General features: G+C 38.7%; 1 protein-coding gene across 33 annotated transcripts in view, besides 2 other annotated features; it reads right to left on the bottom strand.

Annotated features, from left to right (window-relative positions):
- MRTFB (myocardin related transcription factor B) overlaps positions 1 to 20,964 on the bottom strand; it is a 272,006-nt gene that overhangs the window by 66,848 nt on the left and 184,194 nt on the right. For 3 of the 33 annotated variants that reach the window (XM_017023504.2, NM_001365411.2, NM_001365415.2), the window contains exon 1: positions 12,897 to 13,246. The exons of 25 other annotated variants lie outside the window; for them this stretch is intronic. In XM_017023504.2, the coding sequence (XP_016878993.1) occupies positions 12,897 to 13,017 (121 nt within the window). In that variant the 5' untranslated portion in view covers positions 13,018 to 13,246. Of the gene's footprint in view, positions 1 to 4,333; positions 6,670 to 12,896; positions 13,247 to 20,964 lie in introns of those variants that run through there. 5 more of the 33 variants (NM_001365413.2, NM_001365414.2, NM_001365416.2 and 2 more) reach the window with 3 other exon arrangements.
- Positions 6,391 to 6,440: an enhancer, noted in NCBI's record as "active region_10490". NCBI's record gives its function as "activates an Ori minimal core promoter by ATAC-STARR-seq in GM12878 lymphoblastoid cells {active_cell/tissue: GM12878}" and the evidence as "EXISTENCE:reporter gene assay evidence [ECO:0000049][PMID:35858748]".
- Positions 6,451 to 6,500: an enhancer, noted in NCBI's record as "active region_10489". NCBI's record gives its function as "activates an Ori minimal core promoter by ATAC-STARR-seq in GM12878 lymphoblastoid cells {active_cell/tissue: GM12878}" and the evidence as "EXISTENCE:reporter gene assay evidence [ECO:0000049][PMID:35858748]".

The raw sequence follows: 20,964 nt of genomic DNA, 5'->3' as shown, positions 1-20,964 counted from the left end.
ATATCATGTCAAATAATATAAATAACTAATAAGCAGTGAAGAACTGTAAGATATAAAAAGAATTAGTGAGGACAATGGGGCTGGGTTTCTGACTCAATGGGGAAATATTTACCGTGGTTTTCAAAAGCTCAGGGTAAGCTTTCTCTTGAAACCAAACATTTATTTCCAAATTTCATAGAATTTTCTGATGTTCCAGGATAGAAACTTTGAGCACAGGACTTATTTTTTCTTCAACTCCATCATGGCTGAGAGATGTAATGAATAGATTTGAGATACATTTAGAATCAAATCAACAGTGTATGGCAAGGGAGTGGACAGTGTGTTTGAAGGAGGAAGAGGTCACAAAGATGATCCTGGGTTTCAGGCTTAAGCACCTGGGTAGACCATTTACTGAGATAAGGAATGCATGCTGGCTATTAGGAAGCGCAGTCTTGGGCATGTTTGAATAGGAAGTGGAGATGTTAAAATGGCAGTTGGCTACATGGGTCCCGATTTCAGAAGGTCTTGGCAGAGAGTGGAATTTGGAAGTTGTCACTTATGTAGTATTTGAAGCCACAGGAGTTTGCTGAGGTAGAGAATATAAATAGAGAGGAAAAGAAAGCCCGGGACTGAGCTCTTAAGAAAGCCAACAAATAGAAGCCCTGTTACAGGTCAGATAGGGAAGGAAGATCCAACAAAGGAAGGCAGAGGAAGCTGCCTAAAAAGGCGGAGGGAACCAGGAGGGTGTGTGTAAGAGTTTTTAAAGGAGGCATGATCAAGTGTGTCAAATGCTGCTGTTTTAATCCCTGGAGGAGCTACTTTTGTAAAGTGATGGATGTAAGTCAGGTTGGAGGAGGTCAGGTGTGAACGAGAGGCAAGAGTGTAAGCATGCTTTCAAGATGCTGCCCAGGAAGAGCAAGGGAGAAAGTGAAAACTTGAGGGTGTGAAACTTGAAGTTGGAAAATAATTGAGCAAGTTTATAATTGATGAAGAGCAAAAGAGAGGGAAGGGGAGAAGAAAGAAATAAGAATGAATACAAATGAGAGAATGAACAAGAGCATAAGAGATAGCAGGTACCTTGAAGGCAGTAGGAAGGGGACAGATGTACAAAGACATCCTTTATTAAGAGACACTTCCTCTATCATAATAGGAGGGCAATGAGGATTGGCGACTGCTGCAAGAAGCTTTACAGCTTTGGTCTGGGACATCTAGGGAGTTCCCAGATAATGGCTTTTAACTTTTTGGAGAAGTTGAAAGAAAGGTCATCTGTTCCAAGTGAGATGGGTAAAGGGAAAGTTAATTTTGAGGCCAGTGAAGGAGGTTTGGAATAATCACTGTAGACTGTGAAGAGAAAGTCAAGAAGAGAAACATGGTTATGCATTACCGAAATGCTCCAACTAGTAAAGGCAACAGCCAGGGGGAGAGAAATCAGGAAACTGCATGGCAAGTTATTCACTGGCTCTAAATGGTATCATTTTTATCAGAGGAAAAGACCATAAGATACAAAATTAGAACATTTAGCAGTTCTTTCTAAAGTCTTTCCTAAAGAAGTTCTTTTCTAAACTGAATATAATTTTAGTTTATAACAATTGCAGCCCAGCAATTCTACTCCTAGGTGAAATAAGAATTGGAAACAAGTACTCAAACAAATACATGTACACACATGTCCATAGCAACTCTATTCACAATAGCCAAGAGGCAGAAACTGCCCAAATGTCATCAACAGATGAATGGATAAACAAATTGTGGCATATCCATACAATGGAATATTATTCAGTCATAAAAATAAATTAAATACTCATACTACAATGTGGATGAAACTGAAAAACATTACAAGGAAAAGAAGTCAGATATAAAAGCTCACATATTGTATGAGTCCCCATTTACATGAAATATCCAGAACTGGTAAATTCAGAGACAGAGTGCAGATTGGTGGTTGCCAGGGATTGCGGGGAAGGGAGCATGACAGCAACTGCTTAATCGTTAATTTTATGTTATGTGAATTTCACTTCAGTAATTAAAAAAAAGGAACAGTTAGCAGAACAGACATTATGAAACTAATTTCTCAATAATCACATTTCTTATTTCCTACCCACCCCTGGCTGGCCCCTCTCACCACCATAATTCCATTAACCATTAATAATGATTTGATCTTTTAACAATTTGGTAACTACAATAACAACTACATTATATATTCCCCATCACACTGCACGCTAGATATCTATATTTTGCCTCTATTTGCCCTACTAGACCTCATCCTTATATTTCTAGCACCTTCCACAATGCTTACCATATATATAAGTTTTAATAAACATGTTTTACTTAAATTTGCATGGTATACTTAGAGCATATAACTGAGTTGCTATTTTCTAAGAAAACAGAATACAATGTCACATTTAAGAATAAATTAACAAAATAATTTTCTATGGGCAAGTGATTATCATGGGGGCAAAACCAACACCGTTTCACTTCATTGCGGGAATTTGGAGTTTGGAGTTATTTTTGAATTGCTGATGATGGTAGGAACGAAGACAAAATGTAATTATGTTGTTCTGAAGGGTAAAAGACTAAAAAGGAGGGGCTATGAGTAAAAAAGTAAAGAAGGCCATGAAAAAGTGGTAGATTTCTCCACTTAGAATTAATGCGAAATTCAAGCTGCATTAAAGAAGAGAAAGCACTGGCCAGGCACGATGGCTCACGCCTGTAATCCCAGCACTTTGGGAGGCTTAGGCAGGCGGATCACTTGAGGTCAGGAGTTCGAGACCAGCCTGGCCAATATGGTGAAACCCCTATTAAAAATACAAAGATCAGCCAGGCGTGGTGGGGCACGATTGTAATCCCAGCTGCTTGGGAGGCTGAGGTGGAGGTGGGGTGGGGATCGCTTGAACCCGGGAGGCAGAGGTTGTAGTGAGCCGCAATCACGACACTGCACTCCAGTCTGGGCAACAGAGTGAGACTCCATCTCAAAAAAAAAAAAAAAAAAAAAAAGAAAAAAGAGAAAGCACTAAAGTACTCTCATAGATGATAAAAAGTAGTAACTGAATATCACAAATTTTGGGTTATATTTCAAGGGTGCTAATTTGCCAATTATAAAATGGGTTCTTCTTCAAGGAATTTTAAAAAGTGGAATGCAAACAGGCCAGAAATAAAATGGTGGTTTGTTCTGTAAAAGCTGTGCTATCTGCACTGGGTAAGCAAACTTCCACCAGCACTTCCTGTCTGAAACAAAAGCAGAGCTCCACAGTGTGCACATAAATATCAACCCCAGACACTACAAAGAGCAAACAGCATTTTGATCAGGAATTTTGATATTAAGACTATTTTCTGATGAAAAAGGGAGCAACAACATCAAGTTAACTGAAAAACTATTCAAATTAGTGTTTGAAAAAAGTTAGGCTCTAGACCAAGTGGAAATATTGCCTTTGATTTCAACATAAAGTTTACTGCATTCTTATTAAGTATACAGAATTGGAAAAGGAGGGGAAGTGGCAGGTGGTATAGACCTCGGAATTCTAAACCACCATCCCTTGCCTGTAAGGAAGTCCCACAATCTAGAATGTAGCATTTACCTTCTCTTAGAAATTAAAGAGCAAAATTAAAGTAAAAACTAAAATGCTAACAGGACCGCCATTATTCCAGACTAATACACTGTAGGTTTCCTACGATAATCTGCAGCATGAGGTCAGGAAGACAATGTTTCAACACTCAGCTTTGGAAATTTACAGGAGCTTTGATAACTCTCTGGCTGGCTGCTGCTTCTGTTGCCATGGAAACAGACAGCTAAAAATGGGGCATGTTTCTTTAAACTCATCATACCTTCACACAAATTCCCTTCTCCTTTTTGTCAAAAGTTGGAATGAATTTAAAGTATGCTTCTTGTGATATGACAGTATGTTGTCAAGCCAGGGGCCTGGTACAGAATGGCAGAGATAACATTAGCCTGCGACAGATGTACATAAAGATATTAATCATCCACTTAATTGATCACCAACAATGCAGAGGTTAAAACAATACTTGATTTTTCAAACAATTCATTTTTAACCTGTGAGATCATGTTGGTTCTATCCTTAAAGTTCTAAATTCCTTATCTATACAGTTCCCAAAGAAGATAATGTTTATTTTTCTTATTTTGAGGGCAATAAAAAATTCTACACTCCATCATGGTTTAGAATTTCAGTGTGCAGCTATAGGTAGAGCTAGTGCTACAAGCTAAAGCTCTGCTTCTGAATCCCTCTATAATGGAAAAATGTACATTGTATAGAATGTTCTCATGTTTCTTAATACAAATGCGTAAGGTGGGCTCTCTGAATAAAAGAACAATTAACGAAACAGGAAACAGTGGAATATTGTTTACCTCCAATTTTTCCCAGAATAGTAAGCACATGCTACTCTGTTGAAGTCAGATGATCCAGACTCAGTATCTCGGTTTTCCTTTCCATTTTGTGGATTCAGGAATGGGGCTGATACAAACACACACTCAAATATATTTACATATACACATTTGTACATATACCTATGTATATATATACACACACATGTGCAATGTGCCTAGCAAAACATAAACTAAGAACTGCCATAACTTGTGTGTTATCCTAATATCATAGCAACTGTGTGAGATGATCCAGACGATGATGGACCAAGCAGCCATGCACAGCATAGAGGATTGCCACATTATCCCTTGCCACGCACAAAAGCCAATTGTTCTGGTATTAGAATGTCATGTTTCGTGACATGTTTCAATGTCAGTAGTATGTGGAGAAAAGTTCTGATGTTTGGATGTTTTCGGTGTTTAAACTCCAAGATAGTCAATCTACTTGCTCTACTGTTTAGATTCAAATAAACGAGAAAAAGGGCAACTCTAGCAGATGATCATGCATGCTAGAATGCAGACACTGGATACTTGCACCTCCTCAGAAATCATATTCAGTTGGGAAATTGCCAGCCTGTGTGCATTCACCTGCTTCAATAGCCTAGAAATTGGTTTTACTTTGCCCCACACTGGGAAGGATGGCCAAGTGCGTCAAACGGAGCTTTAATGTGGGCTCATTGTTTGTCAGACTCCATCCTGGGAGCTTTACGGCTATCACCACATCTAATCCTCATAACAACCCTACATGGCGGGTACCAATACTGAGTTTTACAAAGGAATTAAGCATTTATCCAAGATCACACAGCTAGTGAGAAGCAGAGCCAGAATTAAAAAGGAAAATTTAGTCTTTCCACAAGATAATTAAAAAAAAAAAAAAAAAAGAAAAGCATACAAAAAGAAATACTTCCTAATATGCTATGAAGTTTTGGCCACTGTACCAATTAACCTCATCAGTGCTTTTGCTCACACTATCTCTATTTTATAAGAAATCTTGTACCTTAAAATACCACTAGAAAAAGTTCTTACATCAATAAGAATTCACTGCTGTTATAGACTGAACTGTGTCCCTCTCAAATTCCTACATGGAAGCCCTAACCCCCAATGTGACTGCATTTGGAAAAAGGGCCTTTCGGAGGTAAAGTTAAATGAGGTCACGAGGTTGGGACCCTGATCTGACAGGGTTAGTGTCCTCATGAGAAGAGACACCTGAGGGCTCACCCTCCCTCTTTCTTTCTCTCCCTGTGCATGCACAGCAAGAAGGCTACAAGCCTGGAAGAGACCCACCACCATTAACTGGCCTCACCAGGCTTCCTAGCCTCCAGAACTGTGAGAAAAGTAACTTCTGTTGTTTAAGCCAGGTAGTCCACCGGTATTTTGTTATTGCAGTATAAGCAATACAAATACAACTGGGAAGACACAAAGAAATGTTAAGATCTTCTTTGCCATTCTGATGCCTGCTAAAAAACCCTGATAAAGCTATCTTTAGGAAACAACGGAAAACCCAATGTTTCAAACGTATCTATACTTTTTCCTGAAAGCTTTTAATAAATTAGAGTGGTGTTATGATAGTACAGATGCTCCTTCACTTAGGATGGGTTTAAGTCGAAAACTGTAAGTCAAAATGCATTTAATACTCTGATAAACCCATCATAAAGTCAAAAATCCTAAGTTGAACCACTGTAAGCAGGGACTATTATCACCTTAATGAGGTGAGACTGATATGATGAAATACTAATCAAGGCCTACCCTGACGCTGAATGTAGGCCTTAAAATGGTTTAAATGGTAATTTTGATGTGCCTTTTTCCTTTAGGTGATGGAATCAGGATAACCACAGCAGCCCCACGAACACTTTCCTGGTTATTCTATCCCAGGAAATAAACATCCTCCTGTGAAATAGTATTTACCAAGTGAGTAGCAGATGTCACAGGCCGGCAGGTGCAAGCACAGTGGTGAACAAAATAGACTTAGCGCCATCCTCATAGATCTTACAGTCTAGAGGGGGGAGGGATATTGAATAAAATAATAGTGATGATACATACAAAGACTAAAAGGATCTAAGTCAGTTTGAGGAGGGAGCAGTGGTACTGAAGGGCCTGTGTGAGAAGGCGACATCTGAAGTGAAACTGAAAGGGTGAGCTGCAGGTGCTCAGGCCAGGGGCTGGGGAGGGGAGGCATTCTAGAGAGAAGAGAGATGAGGGAGAGCAAGTCCAGCGGCTTCTGGAAACATAGGCAAGGCTTTTTACCCCACAGATTTTTGATTTTATCCCAAGTACAACGGAAATCAATTACAAGGTGTGAGCCAGTGACACAACGGAATAGGATTACATTTTAAGATGATCATTCTTTTTTTTTTTTTTTTTTTTTTTTTTTTTGAGACAGGGTCTCACTGTTGCCCAGGTTGGAGTGCAGTGACGCAATACAATGATCACTCCTGACATCAGTGGAGGGTGAAGGAATGAAAGGGGCCAGAATGTGTGTAGGGGGAGGGAAAACCAGCAAGGCTGCGCTCTTTCTGCTGGAGTAAAGATGCCCGTAAATATGTGATCTGAGTAAAGGGGACCTGGACAGGGCTGTTGGCCGTGATGATACAGTGCTGTGGACAGATGAAATATTTCTGAGGTAGAATTGGCAGCTTTGGCGGCAGGACTTGGTGACAGGTTCTGAGGAGGTCAAGGAAGGTGTCAAGAATTGCTCCCAACTAGGTTCCTGGCAGGAGCCACTGGGTGGACAGGGGTGCTGTTTATTGAGATGAGGAACCCTGGAAGAATGTTTGGTGGCAAGGAATAAAAGGCCCATTGGAAACATCAGGGAGGCAGATGGCAGCACAGGTCTGCAGCACAAGAGAGGCCCAGCCCCCAGTCTGTAATGCTTGCTTATTTGGACCAAAGCATACATAGCTTTTTTCTGTTATCTCGTGTATGTGGGTGTGTTTTAACTTCTACTATCATTTAGTTTCTCATTCTTTAGGCTATCAGCTCCCTGAATGTAGGGGCTTACAGAAGTTTAACATAACTGGCATTGTGCTATGTGAAAGCACTCAAACTTCTGCTAAATAAAATTATTTCTAATAAAAAAATTATATAACTTCATCTCAATAGTAGTATGCACCTTTTAAAAATACTGAATAATGTCTGTGAAGAGATATCTTTTACTTTTTCATTCCTATTGTATAAGAACCATATCTCGTATCTTTTCAAATTTACTTTTTGATACAGGGGTCTTGTTCTGTCGCCCAGGCTGGAGTGCAGTGGCATGATCACAGCTTACTGCAGCCTCAAACTCCTGGGTTCAAGGGATCCCTGCATCTCAGCTTCCTAAGTAGGTAAGCCTACAGGCTTATAAGCCAGCACACCTGGCTTATTTTTTTTTTTTTTGTAGAGACGGAGTCTTGCTATGTTGCCTAGGCTGGTCTTAAACTCCTGGGCTCAAGTGATCCTCCTGCCTCAGACTCCCAAAAGTGCTGGGATTATAGGTGTGAGCCACCGTGCCCCACTCCTTTAAAAAACATTAATTTAGTGGCAGCTCACTTGTACAACACTTTTAATTAGTAGAATGTCGGCAGAAAACAAAGAAGACATTCCAAAAGAAATCAAAATAGACGTTGCAAAATTCATGTGCTTTGTAATACCTTCTATATGTTTTAACCATTTATTTTAATTGTCTATTTTATTTTTAAAGTTAGAAGCAGCAATCAGAAAAGGAAGAGCAGCCTGAAGTGGCAGATGATAAAAATCAAACAATAAATAACAATTTGAGTAATCTAGTAATGACCCAGCAATCATTCTGTGCATGGACAACAATCTTACATACCTTAACAGTGCCTTCGGGGCACCATGGCATTACATTTGGGGTAAGCCATTAATTTATAATGGAATTATAAATTATATCTGAAGGTGATAATTCCAATTATTATATTCTGTTTAAGAAGGCAGAGAAGGGTATAATACTCTTTAAATACTTATGCATAATAATAATGTGTCTATGAGATGCAGGGTATTGGGGGATGAGGGGGACAAACAGGCCAGACAACAATTCTTTCTCCAAGAAATATTATGGGGCTAATAGCAAAGACAGTGCAGCTCTATATTACACTAGCATAAGGTGAAATGCCATAGAATGGTACAGATACAGTTACTGGGAATATACAGGAGAGAAGAAATTATCATTAGCTGATGGGATCAAGTGCCTTTCTTTAAAAAATGGCACAGGAATTGGGTTGTAAGAGACAGGGCCTGCAAGGCAGGAGCGAGAGGAGCAAAGCACTGAGTAGCGTTGTCCAGAGCTTTCTGTGAGGGCAGAAATGGAAACATTCATTGCAGCAGCCACTAGCCACATGTGGCTGCTGAGTAGTTGAAATGTGGCTAATGTGACTGAGGAGCTGAATTTTTAAAACAATTTATTTCATTTTAATTATTTTAAATTTAAGCAGCCATATGTGCGTAGTGGACAGTACAGGTAGAGTATGCATAACTTCCATCATTTAAAAAAGCTCTGGTGCTTTGGTAAAGTGATTTATTTAATCTCGATGTATTTCCAGGTTGGATTATTCATAATATTTCAGACAAATGTTCATTTTCTTCTCAAAGCTACTATAGACACATCCCAGTACAGTATGTTAATTTACTGCATTGCTGGCTGGGCCATCTACCATAAGCTTTCATGTACTTCATCTCGGCTATTAGCCAGTCTGTGGCAGAACTGGAAATGTGGCCCCCCAAGTCTGTAACTCCTCCCCACTCCGTTGACACTCCTGGTTGAGCCACACAATGACAGGAGCCCAGGTCCCCAGGTCACTTCTTGGAGGACAGCTGCCTGGGATAGTTGTCCTGCCCACACTGGACTGCGTTTTGAGCAAGAAATGCACTTTGAATGGTTAAAACACTGCGATTGAGGGTTGTCTGTTAGGGCAGTTTTAGTCAAAGTAATTAACACACAACTTGGTTTTCTTTCTGTAGTATCTTATTTTTCACCATTAGAGAGTCCTTTATATCAAATATCATTTTTTCCTCTTAAAATCCATTTGCTACCATTTGCCTGTGATAAATATGGAACATAACTAGCTAGTAGCATTAGAATTATGATTCATTTATCTCAATAATGACCCACATTAAAACACTTATCTGAATTAAATCATCTCAATTTATTTGATTTTTCCTGAAAATTCATAATTATCAACTCTTCAGTTGTCATGTCAGAGTGGTTTGTAATACTCTTCTTAGCTGTAGATCCAGAAATTGAAAGCTCATGTATGTTGAGTGTAATCAGAGAATGTTTGAAGCCGTTTGTAGACAAGTTAAAAGTTGAGATTTCCTGTTGCTGCTTTGACAAAAGAAACTAGTCTAAGGAGAATTTTCTATTTTGAATTTGTTCAGGGGAATTCATGACATTTATTGCTGTTCTCTCCTAGAGAAGAAAATAATTAAATTCTCCAACCACATATACTGGCTGGTGTCTATCAAAAAGCTTATATAAGCATCAACAAAGCTGTGAGATGATATGCTTTATTATCCACACAATTCTCTGCACTGTGATGACAACTCTTCACAGGTGGTCAGCAGTTAGAACTTTTTCCTCTTTTAAATTTTCAAAAGGTATTGCTAAATTTTCTTGTTAAGGCATCCCGTCAATTCTTGAATCCTACAGCGTTTGCTAATAAAGGCTGTTTTCCCCTCATAATAATTTCAGCCAACTAGCACTGTCAACAATTACAAGATTCTAAAACATCCCAATATAAGGAAGCAAGCAAGCAACTACTTGAGAAGCAGAGTAGCCTTCCAAGCCCTGAGAGTGGACACGTATCAGACATATAGAGCCCAAGCTTGTGTCTATGTGATTAAAAAGTTAAATGAACCCAAATTTATCCCTCCTTCATTACCCAGAAACTTATAATTCAGACATTTGAAAAAATTCTAAAGGTTGCTTTTTCAAACAACCCAAAAACAAGTTTTCCAAAAATGAGTAGAAAACCACTGTTGATATAAAATATGATAAATATTTTTAATAAGTGTCCTTTAAAACATGAAGTATAAACTATTAGGGATTATTAATAGTCATTTATATATTTGTCTCTTTTGACAAAACAGCACAAATCTAATTAGACTCCAGGGTATTTTAGAGTAAAACATTAACCAAAAGTATTTGAACAACTGCTGCCATCTCAATTAACTTCCATGGATTCATGTAAACGATGCAGGACCCAATATTTAAAAGCAGATAAAGTAACCAGGAGCTTGTCCCAAAGTTAAATTCTACAAATCTGATGAGCTAAACACTGTTGTTCATCTGCAGGCAGGATCAGTGACATACTGAATTTTGGGAGTTCAATTTTGCAAAGAGAACCGAGTTATTTTTATATGACTCCAAATTTTAAAAGTGCCTTTCTATAATTTTTATTTTTTCCATTCTAATTAAATCCAGATCTAATCCTTTCAATGTCACTAACTTTGAAGCAGCAAATCGTCCTTAATGTCTACATACATTATTTTAGCCTCAACCCTATCTATTAGATGAGTAGAATCTATTAAATGAGGAGAAATATTTAGTCTGTTGAGATATAAAGCAAAACCCAGTTCAGTGCAACTACAGTGAGACATTAATTTTATCATCCAGTTATTTCTGTGGAGTGTTTTAAATATAAAGTTTCTCTCCTCTACCTCTTTATATCAACGAATTTAACAAAACAATAAGATATATAACACTTCTATTTTGTAAACATATGCAGGATTTTAAAATTTAAATTTAAACAGAAGGAAAAAGAAATACGAAAAAAGCAAGAAGAGAGATGAGAAACTGGCATTAACAAGGCATCTTAATAAAATCACTATGAAGTAGGTATTGTTTCTCCTCATTGTACAAATGAGGAAGTTAAGGCTCAGAGGAGTAAGCTTGTCCAGGATCACAGACCCGGTAAATGGTGCATGTAGGATTTGAACTCAAGTATTTCTCACTCCAGGGTCTATGCTGTTTTGCCATTATACTATTACACCTGTATAAATCGAAAGCATAGTCAGAATTGTTAGGGAAAGAATCTGTACTTTATGTAACCATCACAACTCTATTTTGTGGTTCCTGTTGATGATTCTCTTACTCTGTTTTTATATTTTTAATCCTTGCTTTCTATGTGCCTTAATCCCATTGCTGTTGTGACATCTTTTTATTTCTCCTATTCTGTTTTCCTCTACTTTCCTAGTTTCTCAAGTACGCAAAAATGTTTTAAATTTATGGTATTATTAGGAGCTTGACACTTGAACTTGACTTAAATGATAGATAATTCTCAAACTTTTAAGAAATTAATGATTTAAGAAATTTAAGTTCCCTTCAATGAGTCTCCAGAAATGCATCCTAAAAATTCCACTGGTATCGATTTTTATAAAAACCGGCAGTAAGACATGCCGTGCACAAGCAGAGGCAACTCCATTGTTTGGTTCCTAGCAACAGCTATTTATACTTCATTGTGTGTCATTTATTTCGACCTAGGAGTTTTTCCTGCCCATACCCAAGAGTAGTTCAACTCCAGCAAGTCTAACTCTTGTTTCTTCTTCTTATCTTTTAGAAGAAGCTCAAAGCACTACTTAGACCAATTAACTCTACATTTACTCTCTGGGTCTCTATAAGACGGGCAAGAGCGAGCGGGAGGCAAGGGGGTGGCTGCTGGCAGCAGCTGAAAGCAGAGGCTGAAAAAGGGGGATTGTGGGTTTTTGCTTTCCAAAGATGACTAGGAAACCAATTTTCAAATTAAACAAGCATTGAGAAGAGTGACCCTCATGTCTCAAATTCAGGAAAACTTATTCTCTGTAGACCCTGAATTTCTTAAACACTGGCTACAGGAAGGCAAGCTGTGTACCAGTCTTGCCATGCTTCTGTATGCCAGGACAGAGGACAGCAATGTCCACATGTTTGGCTATTTCCTTAAATCAATCAGTGAGGTGCCTGTGCAGTGTTTACTAACAATAATAATCGACAGTATTTATTCTCAAGCTTATTCTTTGCTTTGTTACAAAACAAAATCAAGCTATGCAATGTGCTTTTTAAAACAAAAAACGATGCAATGCGCATTACAACCAATTAACCTATCACTGTAGGATTTAAAAGCTAGCTACCTTCCTGGTTTTAAACAGTAAAAATCATAAGCATCTTAACTGAAAAAATGAATTTTCCTGGAATTATGTGTTTGGAAACCTAAAAGAAGCAGTGTTCTCACTAACATAAAAAAGGAAATGGCCTCTCCGAAAAGACAGAGGGAAGAGAAAAAAAGGAAGAAAATATACAAAATGAACCTGGGAAGATTTTACCAAAATGAGGACTGGCTGTACAAGTCCCCTTACTGCATGAATTACTGCAAAAGCCCTACAGTTCCATCAGCTAATGAATCTTTAGTAACAGCTACCCAGAACAGCATTAAGCTTTCATTTCAAAGAACTTAGAATGTGTAAGGTACATGAGTGAACAGAGAGAGCAGACACATAGCATGGTAACAGACAGACACGCTCAGCTGGCTGACCAGAATATGAATTTGGCAGTTTTGCCCCTGTCCACAGACAGACTGACCTTCCTTGAGACTTTTCTGGTTGCTCCCCTCAAGGCATTCCTTTTCTTTTAATGGTTCAAAATCCCCAGCAGTTAAAATCTCTGGGAAGCCCTGTTGCTGCTTCTTGGAGCTATCGATCATGGTGAGAGGCTTCTGAAGACAGGCAGCATCAAGCAGGAGAAAAGCTTAATTTGCAGAAGAGCGAAGTGCGGTGCGCAGAACACTCTGGTCCCTGGGTCCCTGGTTGCTCCCCACAATACCCCAATCACTGGCCAATTATGTCTTTAAGCAGCTGAAGGCAGCCATTACCCTTTAGTTCCCAGCTTGACCTGCAAATACACTCATGCCGCTGGAAGCCCTTAACTCTCTCCCACATCGGGAGGCAGAGCCACACAGGCACGATTCTAAAATCCCACCCCTTTTCCCAGCCAGCCCCCTTTCCCTTGCCATTCCAGCTTCCCCCGCGCTGGGGACTTCAGTCTGCAGTTTGATGGTCCGAATCATCTGACAAACACTGAGTCAAGCAGTTAAAAATAAATCTTCTAGTTGTTAAAAGAGAAGACTTTGCTGATACCTAAGAAGACAAATTGCTGCCTGTGGTCTCTCTCCCGCTCTCTATAAACACAGCCACAGGCTATGGAAATACTTTATATTGACCAGACAAGCACATCAATTACTCATTAAGTTCTCCAGCTACACAAACGGCAGTCTAGGGCATCTGAAGGAAGCGGCTCTTATCTCAGCAGAGGCACACACTGAATAAACATGCTACCAGCATATGTGAATGAAGACAGAGTCATTTCACCACCAAAGTTCTTTTGTGGTGTGCTTTGTGTTGCATGTGCCTCTTCCTGGCAAAGCTGATGCTCTTTGTAATAGGGAAATGTACTGCAATTGCAGCTTTCTTCCTTTGGCAATTCAGACCCAAGCAGCAGTTTTTCTTAGTGCCACTAGTTGGCTGGGAGAGTTAACATTGCCATGATTTTTTTTAAGGAAAATTCTCCCCCCATGCATTAAAAGCGGCAACACTGACAGCTTCTATTTCATAACAGAGTAAACCAATGACCAGCCTAAGTTTAATTTTACATGAGCTATCAAGGATGGGCACCTCTCCTGCAAGTCACAGGCTGCTGTTCACTGCATATAGGGACACTGCTGGAAGGAAATCTCTAGATACAGGAATTCCAGGCAAATGTGGAGATAAGCCAGTCTCCAAATACTCCAGATATATACCTCTGTAGCCAAAATAATCTGATTTTTAAAAATGGTTCAAAGTGTGTTCCTTTGCAAAGAGTTCCCATAAAACCCATCAGAGGTTATAAGAGCAGTAGACTGTGAATACTGTTTCATGAGGTTCTGTTTTGTCCTTTTTTTTTTTTCAAAATAACTTCTAGCAGAGTGCTTGGAATATTAGGTGTTCTCAATAAACATCTGTAGCATGGTTGAGTGAATGAATTAAAGCAGAAGACAGTGCATCAGGAAAACTTCCTTTAATAATACCCAGAATTCTAAAGAAGTCCTGGGTCAATAACTAAGAGCCACTAATTTTAGATGAGCAACTAAATAAGTTCTCTAAAGGAAGCACATTTTCTCTTCAAAAGAAAATATACAGACACATTTTAATCATGCACCTGATGAGACCCTCCTCTGGGATAAAGGCTTACATTTTTACAGACAGAAAAATCAATATTCTTTCCACCACTTAAACACAGGTGGGTCTGGATGAAGTATTCTGTCCTTTGTGCCTGGTTCCAAGGCTGGTGTGCACTAAACCCATATTGTTCTAGAAAGATTGCTATCTATCCTTTTTCAGCATCTCACAGGACATGCTTCTTGTCAACTGAAATTCCTTCTGAAGCAATTTAAGTCCATCCTCGGCAGTCCAAACCTCTGCAGGAACAAATAGTGACAAGCTTATCACACTCTCAAAAATGCCCTCAAACGTTCTGTTACTATCTCTGACCCTAACGCCTACATTCTTCTGAAGAAACTACTCATGCACTTTTAAAGGAGTAATAAAAATAACCATAGCTCTTTGAGGACATTCTTTAGGTTGGTCACTTAATTAGCTGTTTTGCAAGGTTTATCTAATTTAACCCTCCACAATTGGCGTGGTCGCTATGATTGTGTATGCTATAGACATTTTACACGCCAAGACTCAAGTCACAAAGCTTCTAAGTAGCAGGTATGGAATTTAACCAAAGTCTTAGTTCTCTAAAGCCCAAGTCTGTCTATGGCCTTGCCCTGCCTTCTGTCTTCTAGAATATGCTCCAGCTCCAGGCTTTAATTTCATCCTGAGACAGGCTTAATAGCAGAAGCCATGACTTTGATGGCCCCCTGGTAATTCTACTCCTGGTGAGAGGAAAGAAAGCTAACATAATCATACTAAAATGATTTTATGAAAGCATTTTAACTACTCATGAAATAATAATAGCAGCCAACTTTATTTAGTGATTACTGTATGCTATCCTACTGCAAGACTTGTGAGTTCAACATTATTTTCCTGATCTACACATGGGAAAATGGAGGCTTAAAAAAATCAGTGGTGGGTCACGCCTATAATCCCAGCACTTTGGTAGGCCGAGGTGGGCGAATGACTTGAGGTCAGGAGTTTGAGACCAGCCTGGCCAACATGGCAAACCCCATCTCTACTAAAGATACAAAAATTAGCTGGGCATGGTAGCACATACCTATAATCCCAGCTGCTCGGGAGGCTGAGGCAAGACAATCGCTTGAACCCGGGAGGCAGAGGTTACAGTGAGCTGAGATTGTGCCACTGCACTCCAGCCTGGGCCACAGAGTGAGACTCCATCTCAAAAAAAAAAAAAAAAAATCAAATACTTTGTCAGAGGTGGCATATCTCATAAGTGGTGGCCAGGATTCCAAAGCACGCAGCTTGGCTCCGGGGCCTACATGCTTAATTACTTTGCAAAAAGAACAACGAAAACAATAAATGCCAACTTTTTTTTTTTTTTTTTTTTTTAAATTTCAGGATGTTGCTTTTAAATCCTGAAAAATGCCCAACTGTTTTTAGGTCACAATCCTATAAATCTCAGTAGATGCACAACTACACCAGCCACTTTAAAATTCTTTACCATATCTGTGTGTGTATGTATCTTCAGTGTGTGTTAAATGTGTTTTTAAAAAGCTATCTCTTAAGAAACCTCTGCATGCTTATTTTTGTATCTAATAGATCTCAAAATCCCAATAAGAAAACACATTATTCTGCTGTAGGTTTATATCAAAAGTTGTGTCTTTGTAGTTCTCAAAGAAAGTAATTTCTCTAGTGGTGAATGTGCCTGAAAGAACATTTATTAAAAAAATTTTTTGAAATAATTTCAAATTTACAGAGCATTTCCCCCAGAATCATCTCTGAATAGGTTCTAACATGATACTTCTTTACCCTAAGTGTTCAGGTGTGTAATTCCTACAAACAAGGATATTCTCCTACAGAACCAAAATATAATAATCAATATCAAGATGATATTGATGACTGCTTAGTCGGTATAGATATATCAAATTAACATTGATAAGAAAAAAAACAAACACATAAAAAGAGGAAACAAGTTAACATTGATATATCTGCATTCAAGTTCCACCAATTGTCCCAACAATATCCTGTATAGTAAAAGGATCCAAACCAGGATCACATATGACATTGAGTTCTTGAATTATTAAGTCTCTTTAGTTTTTGTCCATCTCTAACATTCTCTCAGTCTTTCTTCACTTATCTTTCCTTGAATTTTGATGATTACAGGCCAGTTATTTTATAGTATTATCCTCAATTTGAGTCTGTCTGTTCTGTCCTTAGGATTAGGTTCTGGTGATACATTTTCAACAGGAATACCCCAGAAATAATGATGCAATCTTTGCATCCTATCAGGTAATACACAAATTCAAGTATATTAATTGTCTCAAAACTGATGATGTATATTTTGACACCTTGGTACTGGCCAGATTTCTCCATGGCGAAATTATTCTTTTTGTATATAATTATTCTGTGGGAAGGTGCTTTGAGAACAATCCATTGGTGTGTTTGGCTAAATTATTTATCACTATGATGGCTGCCAAATGGTGAATTTGAAAACTCCATCATTCCTTCTACATTTATTAGTGGCACATCCTACTATAAGAAAAAAAAATTCTCTTTACATGGTTTATGTTACCTACTTACAGTCTCCTATTTCATGCAATAGCTTATAATCTGTGACTTTCATTATTTATTTTAATGCCCAAATTGTCCCAGATTTGGCTAGTGTGAACTCCCAGTTTCTTATTGTCATGATTCTATCATTCTTTGAGCAGTTTATTACCTTCTTACTTCCCGGCACAAGATGTCCCAGACTCATGTTGTACTTTTTCCCTGCTTTGTTTAGAACCCAAGGTCTGAATGCTAGGTATGCTCACTGCTGCAAGGGTGTCACTGTTCCCAGGCCTTCTCTGCAGACAGAGCTGAGGAACATGTCTGAGTTTATATGTGTGTGGATGTATACACACACATCTACATAACATTTATATCTCTATATATGAATGGATGTAAATATACATCTATATTTAAGTACGTATGTCTGTATTTATTTATATGTATTGAAAACCATGAGTTCATCCCAATGCCTCCAATTCCATTCCAGTGCCACAGGTTCGCTCTCATTTTTTTCTGTATTTGTGGCCCCTTCTCCTACAGGGAGAAACCTGTCTCCCATAGCTTCTGCCACTCCACTCATGGACACCCTGTATACATCACCACTGCCACTGCTGTGGCTAAAACTGTGCAGAAGCCTCTTCACTCTACACTGGCCTGCCTCCCCCTCTCCCACGGGGCAGCTGCCTAGCTCAGCTCCACACAATGCCTTTTGGAATGAATTAGGGAGAGATGGAGGAGACCTGCAGTATCCCTCAGTAGGAGAAACCCCCACCACTGTCACCTGAATTGCTTTCCAGTAGGTTTGCCCTTGTTCCTCTACTATATGTGGTACATCATCTTCACTGTCATTTGGCTCTAATGTCACGAGTAACATTTAACTTCAAATAATATGTGATGAAAGTCACTTCTGCTATGATAAATCTGCTTCCATGGTGTTTGTGTGTATGCACACTGAAAAGAGCTCTTTTAGTATGAAAGAGATGACCATAAATCAAGTCCATTTTCCCACCACCCCAGGCAGATATTTAATAAGTGTGAGAAAAACTGTATGGCTTAGAGACTAGGAACAATCCAAGAAAGTCTTCAGGGAATCAGAATACAAACAAATGCAGCTCAAGGGACTTACACAAAAACTTGGCAGAGTTAATATATGCTTATAAAACTACTGATAAAAAGAATATTGCTGTGATGATACTATACTTCACTATGAAAAAAACCTCGTAATATTTCCAACTGGGCAATGTTTCACAATGTAAAAACATTCAAGAGTAATGAATAAAATAATTAGTAACAAATGCAAAGAGATGGGTAAATATTGAGGCATACTTTTCTGGTAGCATTCTTGACATAAAGATTGAGTAAAGATGACCTTTTCTCTTCATCTTCTATGTCTCAGTACTTGCTAATAGATCCTCAGTAGCTATTCACTCAAGTGAATAATAGTAAGCTTTGCAACTTCCTTCACACAGGCTGAGTCAGAGTATTACAAAATCTACACAGATAATGAGATTGGATGTATTTAGGAAGGAAAATTTCAGTCTAGGGTACACGTAAATTTTTTTCCTAATGCTACCATATTTTTAGTAAAATACATATTTGATCCATATTTTTCTCGCTTTTAACATTATAAACACCACCGTAAAATACTATACCTTTAGACTGTTACTAAATGGTTATGGTAAATCCCAACGGTTAATTAAAAAAAAATTTTTTTTTATTTAAACAAAGAACACTTAAAGAGTGCTATCTCTTAAATCAGATAGCATGTCTTTAAAGTTCTTTATGGTTATCACTTTTAAAATATATATTGAAAAAGTCCTTCACTTTATCACTTTAAAAATATATACTGAACATACAGTACTTCAGATGTAAACAGATTAACAAATTAGCCCCTATGAAAACCGCTGTTTCATAAGGAAGGATACATTTTTCTGACCTTTCTAGGGTAATAAGATTTTGAAGGAAATCATCCATGTTTCACAGTTAAGCACTGCAGCAGAATTGAACACCACAACAGGGCCAAACAGTCTGATCACTGGTTTGTCATCTGTGCTTGTTGTCCCCCACCCTGGAACAGACCGGCACACCAGCACATTCAGCACCTCCCTCCCCTCCAGGTTTGCTTCACCCTCTCTGAGGACATGAAAGGCAAAGAAGGCTTTTCAGGGTTGGAATTTCCCCATGCATGGTCCCATGACAGGCCTGTGCTCGGACTGAGGGAGAGTGCTGTGTGGGACAAGGGAATGGCAGCACAGGCAGAGGACAGCTTGCGTGGCTCCTCCTCAGGCAGCCATTCACATGACAGCGGCAGCCTGCAACACAAGTGTTCTGACTACACTTGTGTAAGAGACTGGGGCCATTTGTCTCTTCCTGCTCCAATCATTAGCATGAGTAATCAAGAAATGACAGAACACACTTTCATCAACTTAGAAAAAGTCATTCAAGTCCTGTCTCCATTTCTAAGCTTTATAGTTACTTATATAAATACAACTGACTACAAGATTTACAACAAAGAACTTTCCTCAGATGATATGATCAGTCTTCCTCAAATTCTGAGATAACTTCCCTAGCTATGGATATTTGAAAGACTTTTAATGTCATTTCATCACCTTATTGATACAAATATGTCTAGACATCATTAATGTAACTCACTGAAGGCCAATGTGCATTTACTAAGATCATTCTATGCACTGGGGACATGTTAGGTGTGTGTGTGACACAATCTCTGTCTCTTAAGGAATATGGTCTAGAGCTTTTAACTATTTCTGACTGCCACTTTCTCCTCTTTTCCATTCTTTTACTCTTATTAGAATGTTCTTTATACCGGTGCTTCTGTAATTATCTGTGGTTAAGAGAAATATTTTAAAACTTCCAATCGCTGTAGACCAATATGTGGTCCCACCATGCACTGCTAGTAGGGTCACATTAGTTTGGCAATAACCAGACTAATCTGCACTCTGTTCAACAAGAGGAGTCCACTAATCATGCACTTGAGCGTCTCACCGGTGTCGTGCTGCCGTTAAAGTTTCTAAACACTCCTGATTTCTCAAGTTACCTCACAGGAGAATGGTAAGGAAAAGCCTGTAGGATGGTACAGCATATGGACCACGCTGACTAGCACTGCTTTCTATTCATCGACTTCAGTCTAGTCCTCTGACCACTCCCCAGACTACTAGTTCATGCCTTACCTGCATTCTCTTCCTTAGTTATCGTTAAGTCTAGGATAAACTATTTCAACCACTAAAGAATTTCAATGTCTTGATATTCTGCCATTGCCCCTTGCTTATCCCCTGCCCACAAATGACTAATTTTAGTCAAGCAGTCAATCACAGAGTCTCAGGATTTGGTAGAACAAGCACTAGGACATAAATTTCCCGAGTCCGAAGATGTATTCTTGGGTGTTCATGAACTCCTTACGGAAATGTATGCAATTTGTTTTCATTTTGTTAACCTGGAAAAAAAAATCTCCTTGATCACCTGGATGAGTATTTTATAAAGTGTTGCCACACAGTAACAAAGCCAGACACTGTGAGAATATGTTTAAGCCTAGAGAAGGCAAAATGATAGCCAGACTGTAATAGTTTCAACAGAGAAAAGGAATGGGATCTATGAGTCATGATGGCATAAACCAGTGCTAGAGCAGTGAGGACCACTGTCAGGTGTCAAGCAGCAATCACATTTATGTAAAAATGCATCATGTCACAGTAAGTTAATATTTATTTTAATTTCATTAGCATTGTGGATTTCTATAATTAATATGCAAAGTGTTTCAGTTTTGTCATATAAGTGCTACTAAGTACAAGGAGTTTACACTTCATTTATAATTGTACATAATCCAACAATGTCATATTAACAAAAATTAAGTCATCTGGCTGGTGTGGTGGCTCATGCCTGTAATTCCCGCACTTTGGGAGGCTAAGGTGGGTGGATTTCTTGAATTCGGG

The sequence above is a fragment of the Homo sapiens genome, chromosome 16, assembly GCF_000001405.40.
Source record: "Homo sapiens chromosome 16, GRCh38.p14 Primary Assembly".
Classification (NCBI taxonomy): domain Eukaryota; kingdom Metazoa; phylum Chordata; class Mammalia; order Primates; family Hominidae; genus Homo; species Homo sapiens.
Note: the sequence above shows the minus strand (reverse complement) of the source record. Positions and strands in the feature narration are given on the sequence as shown.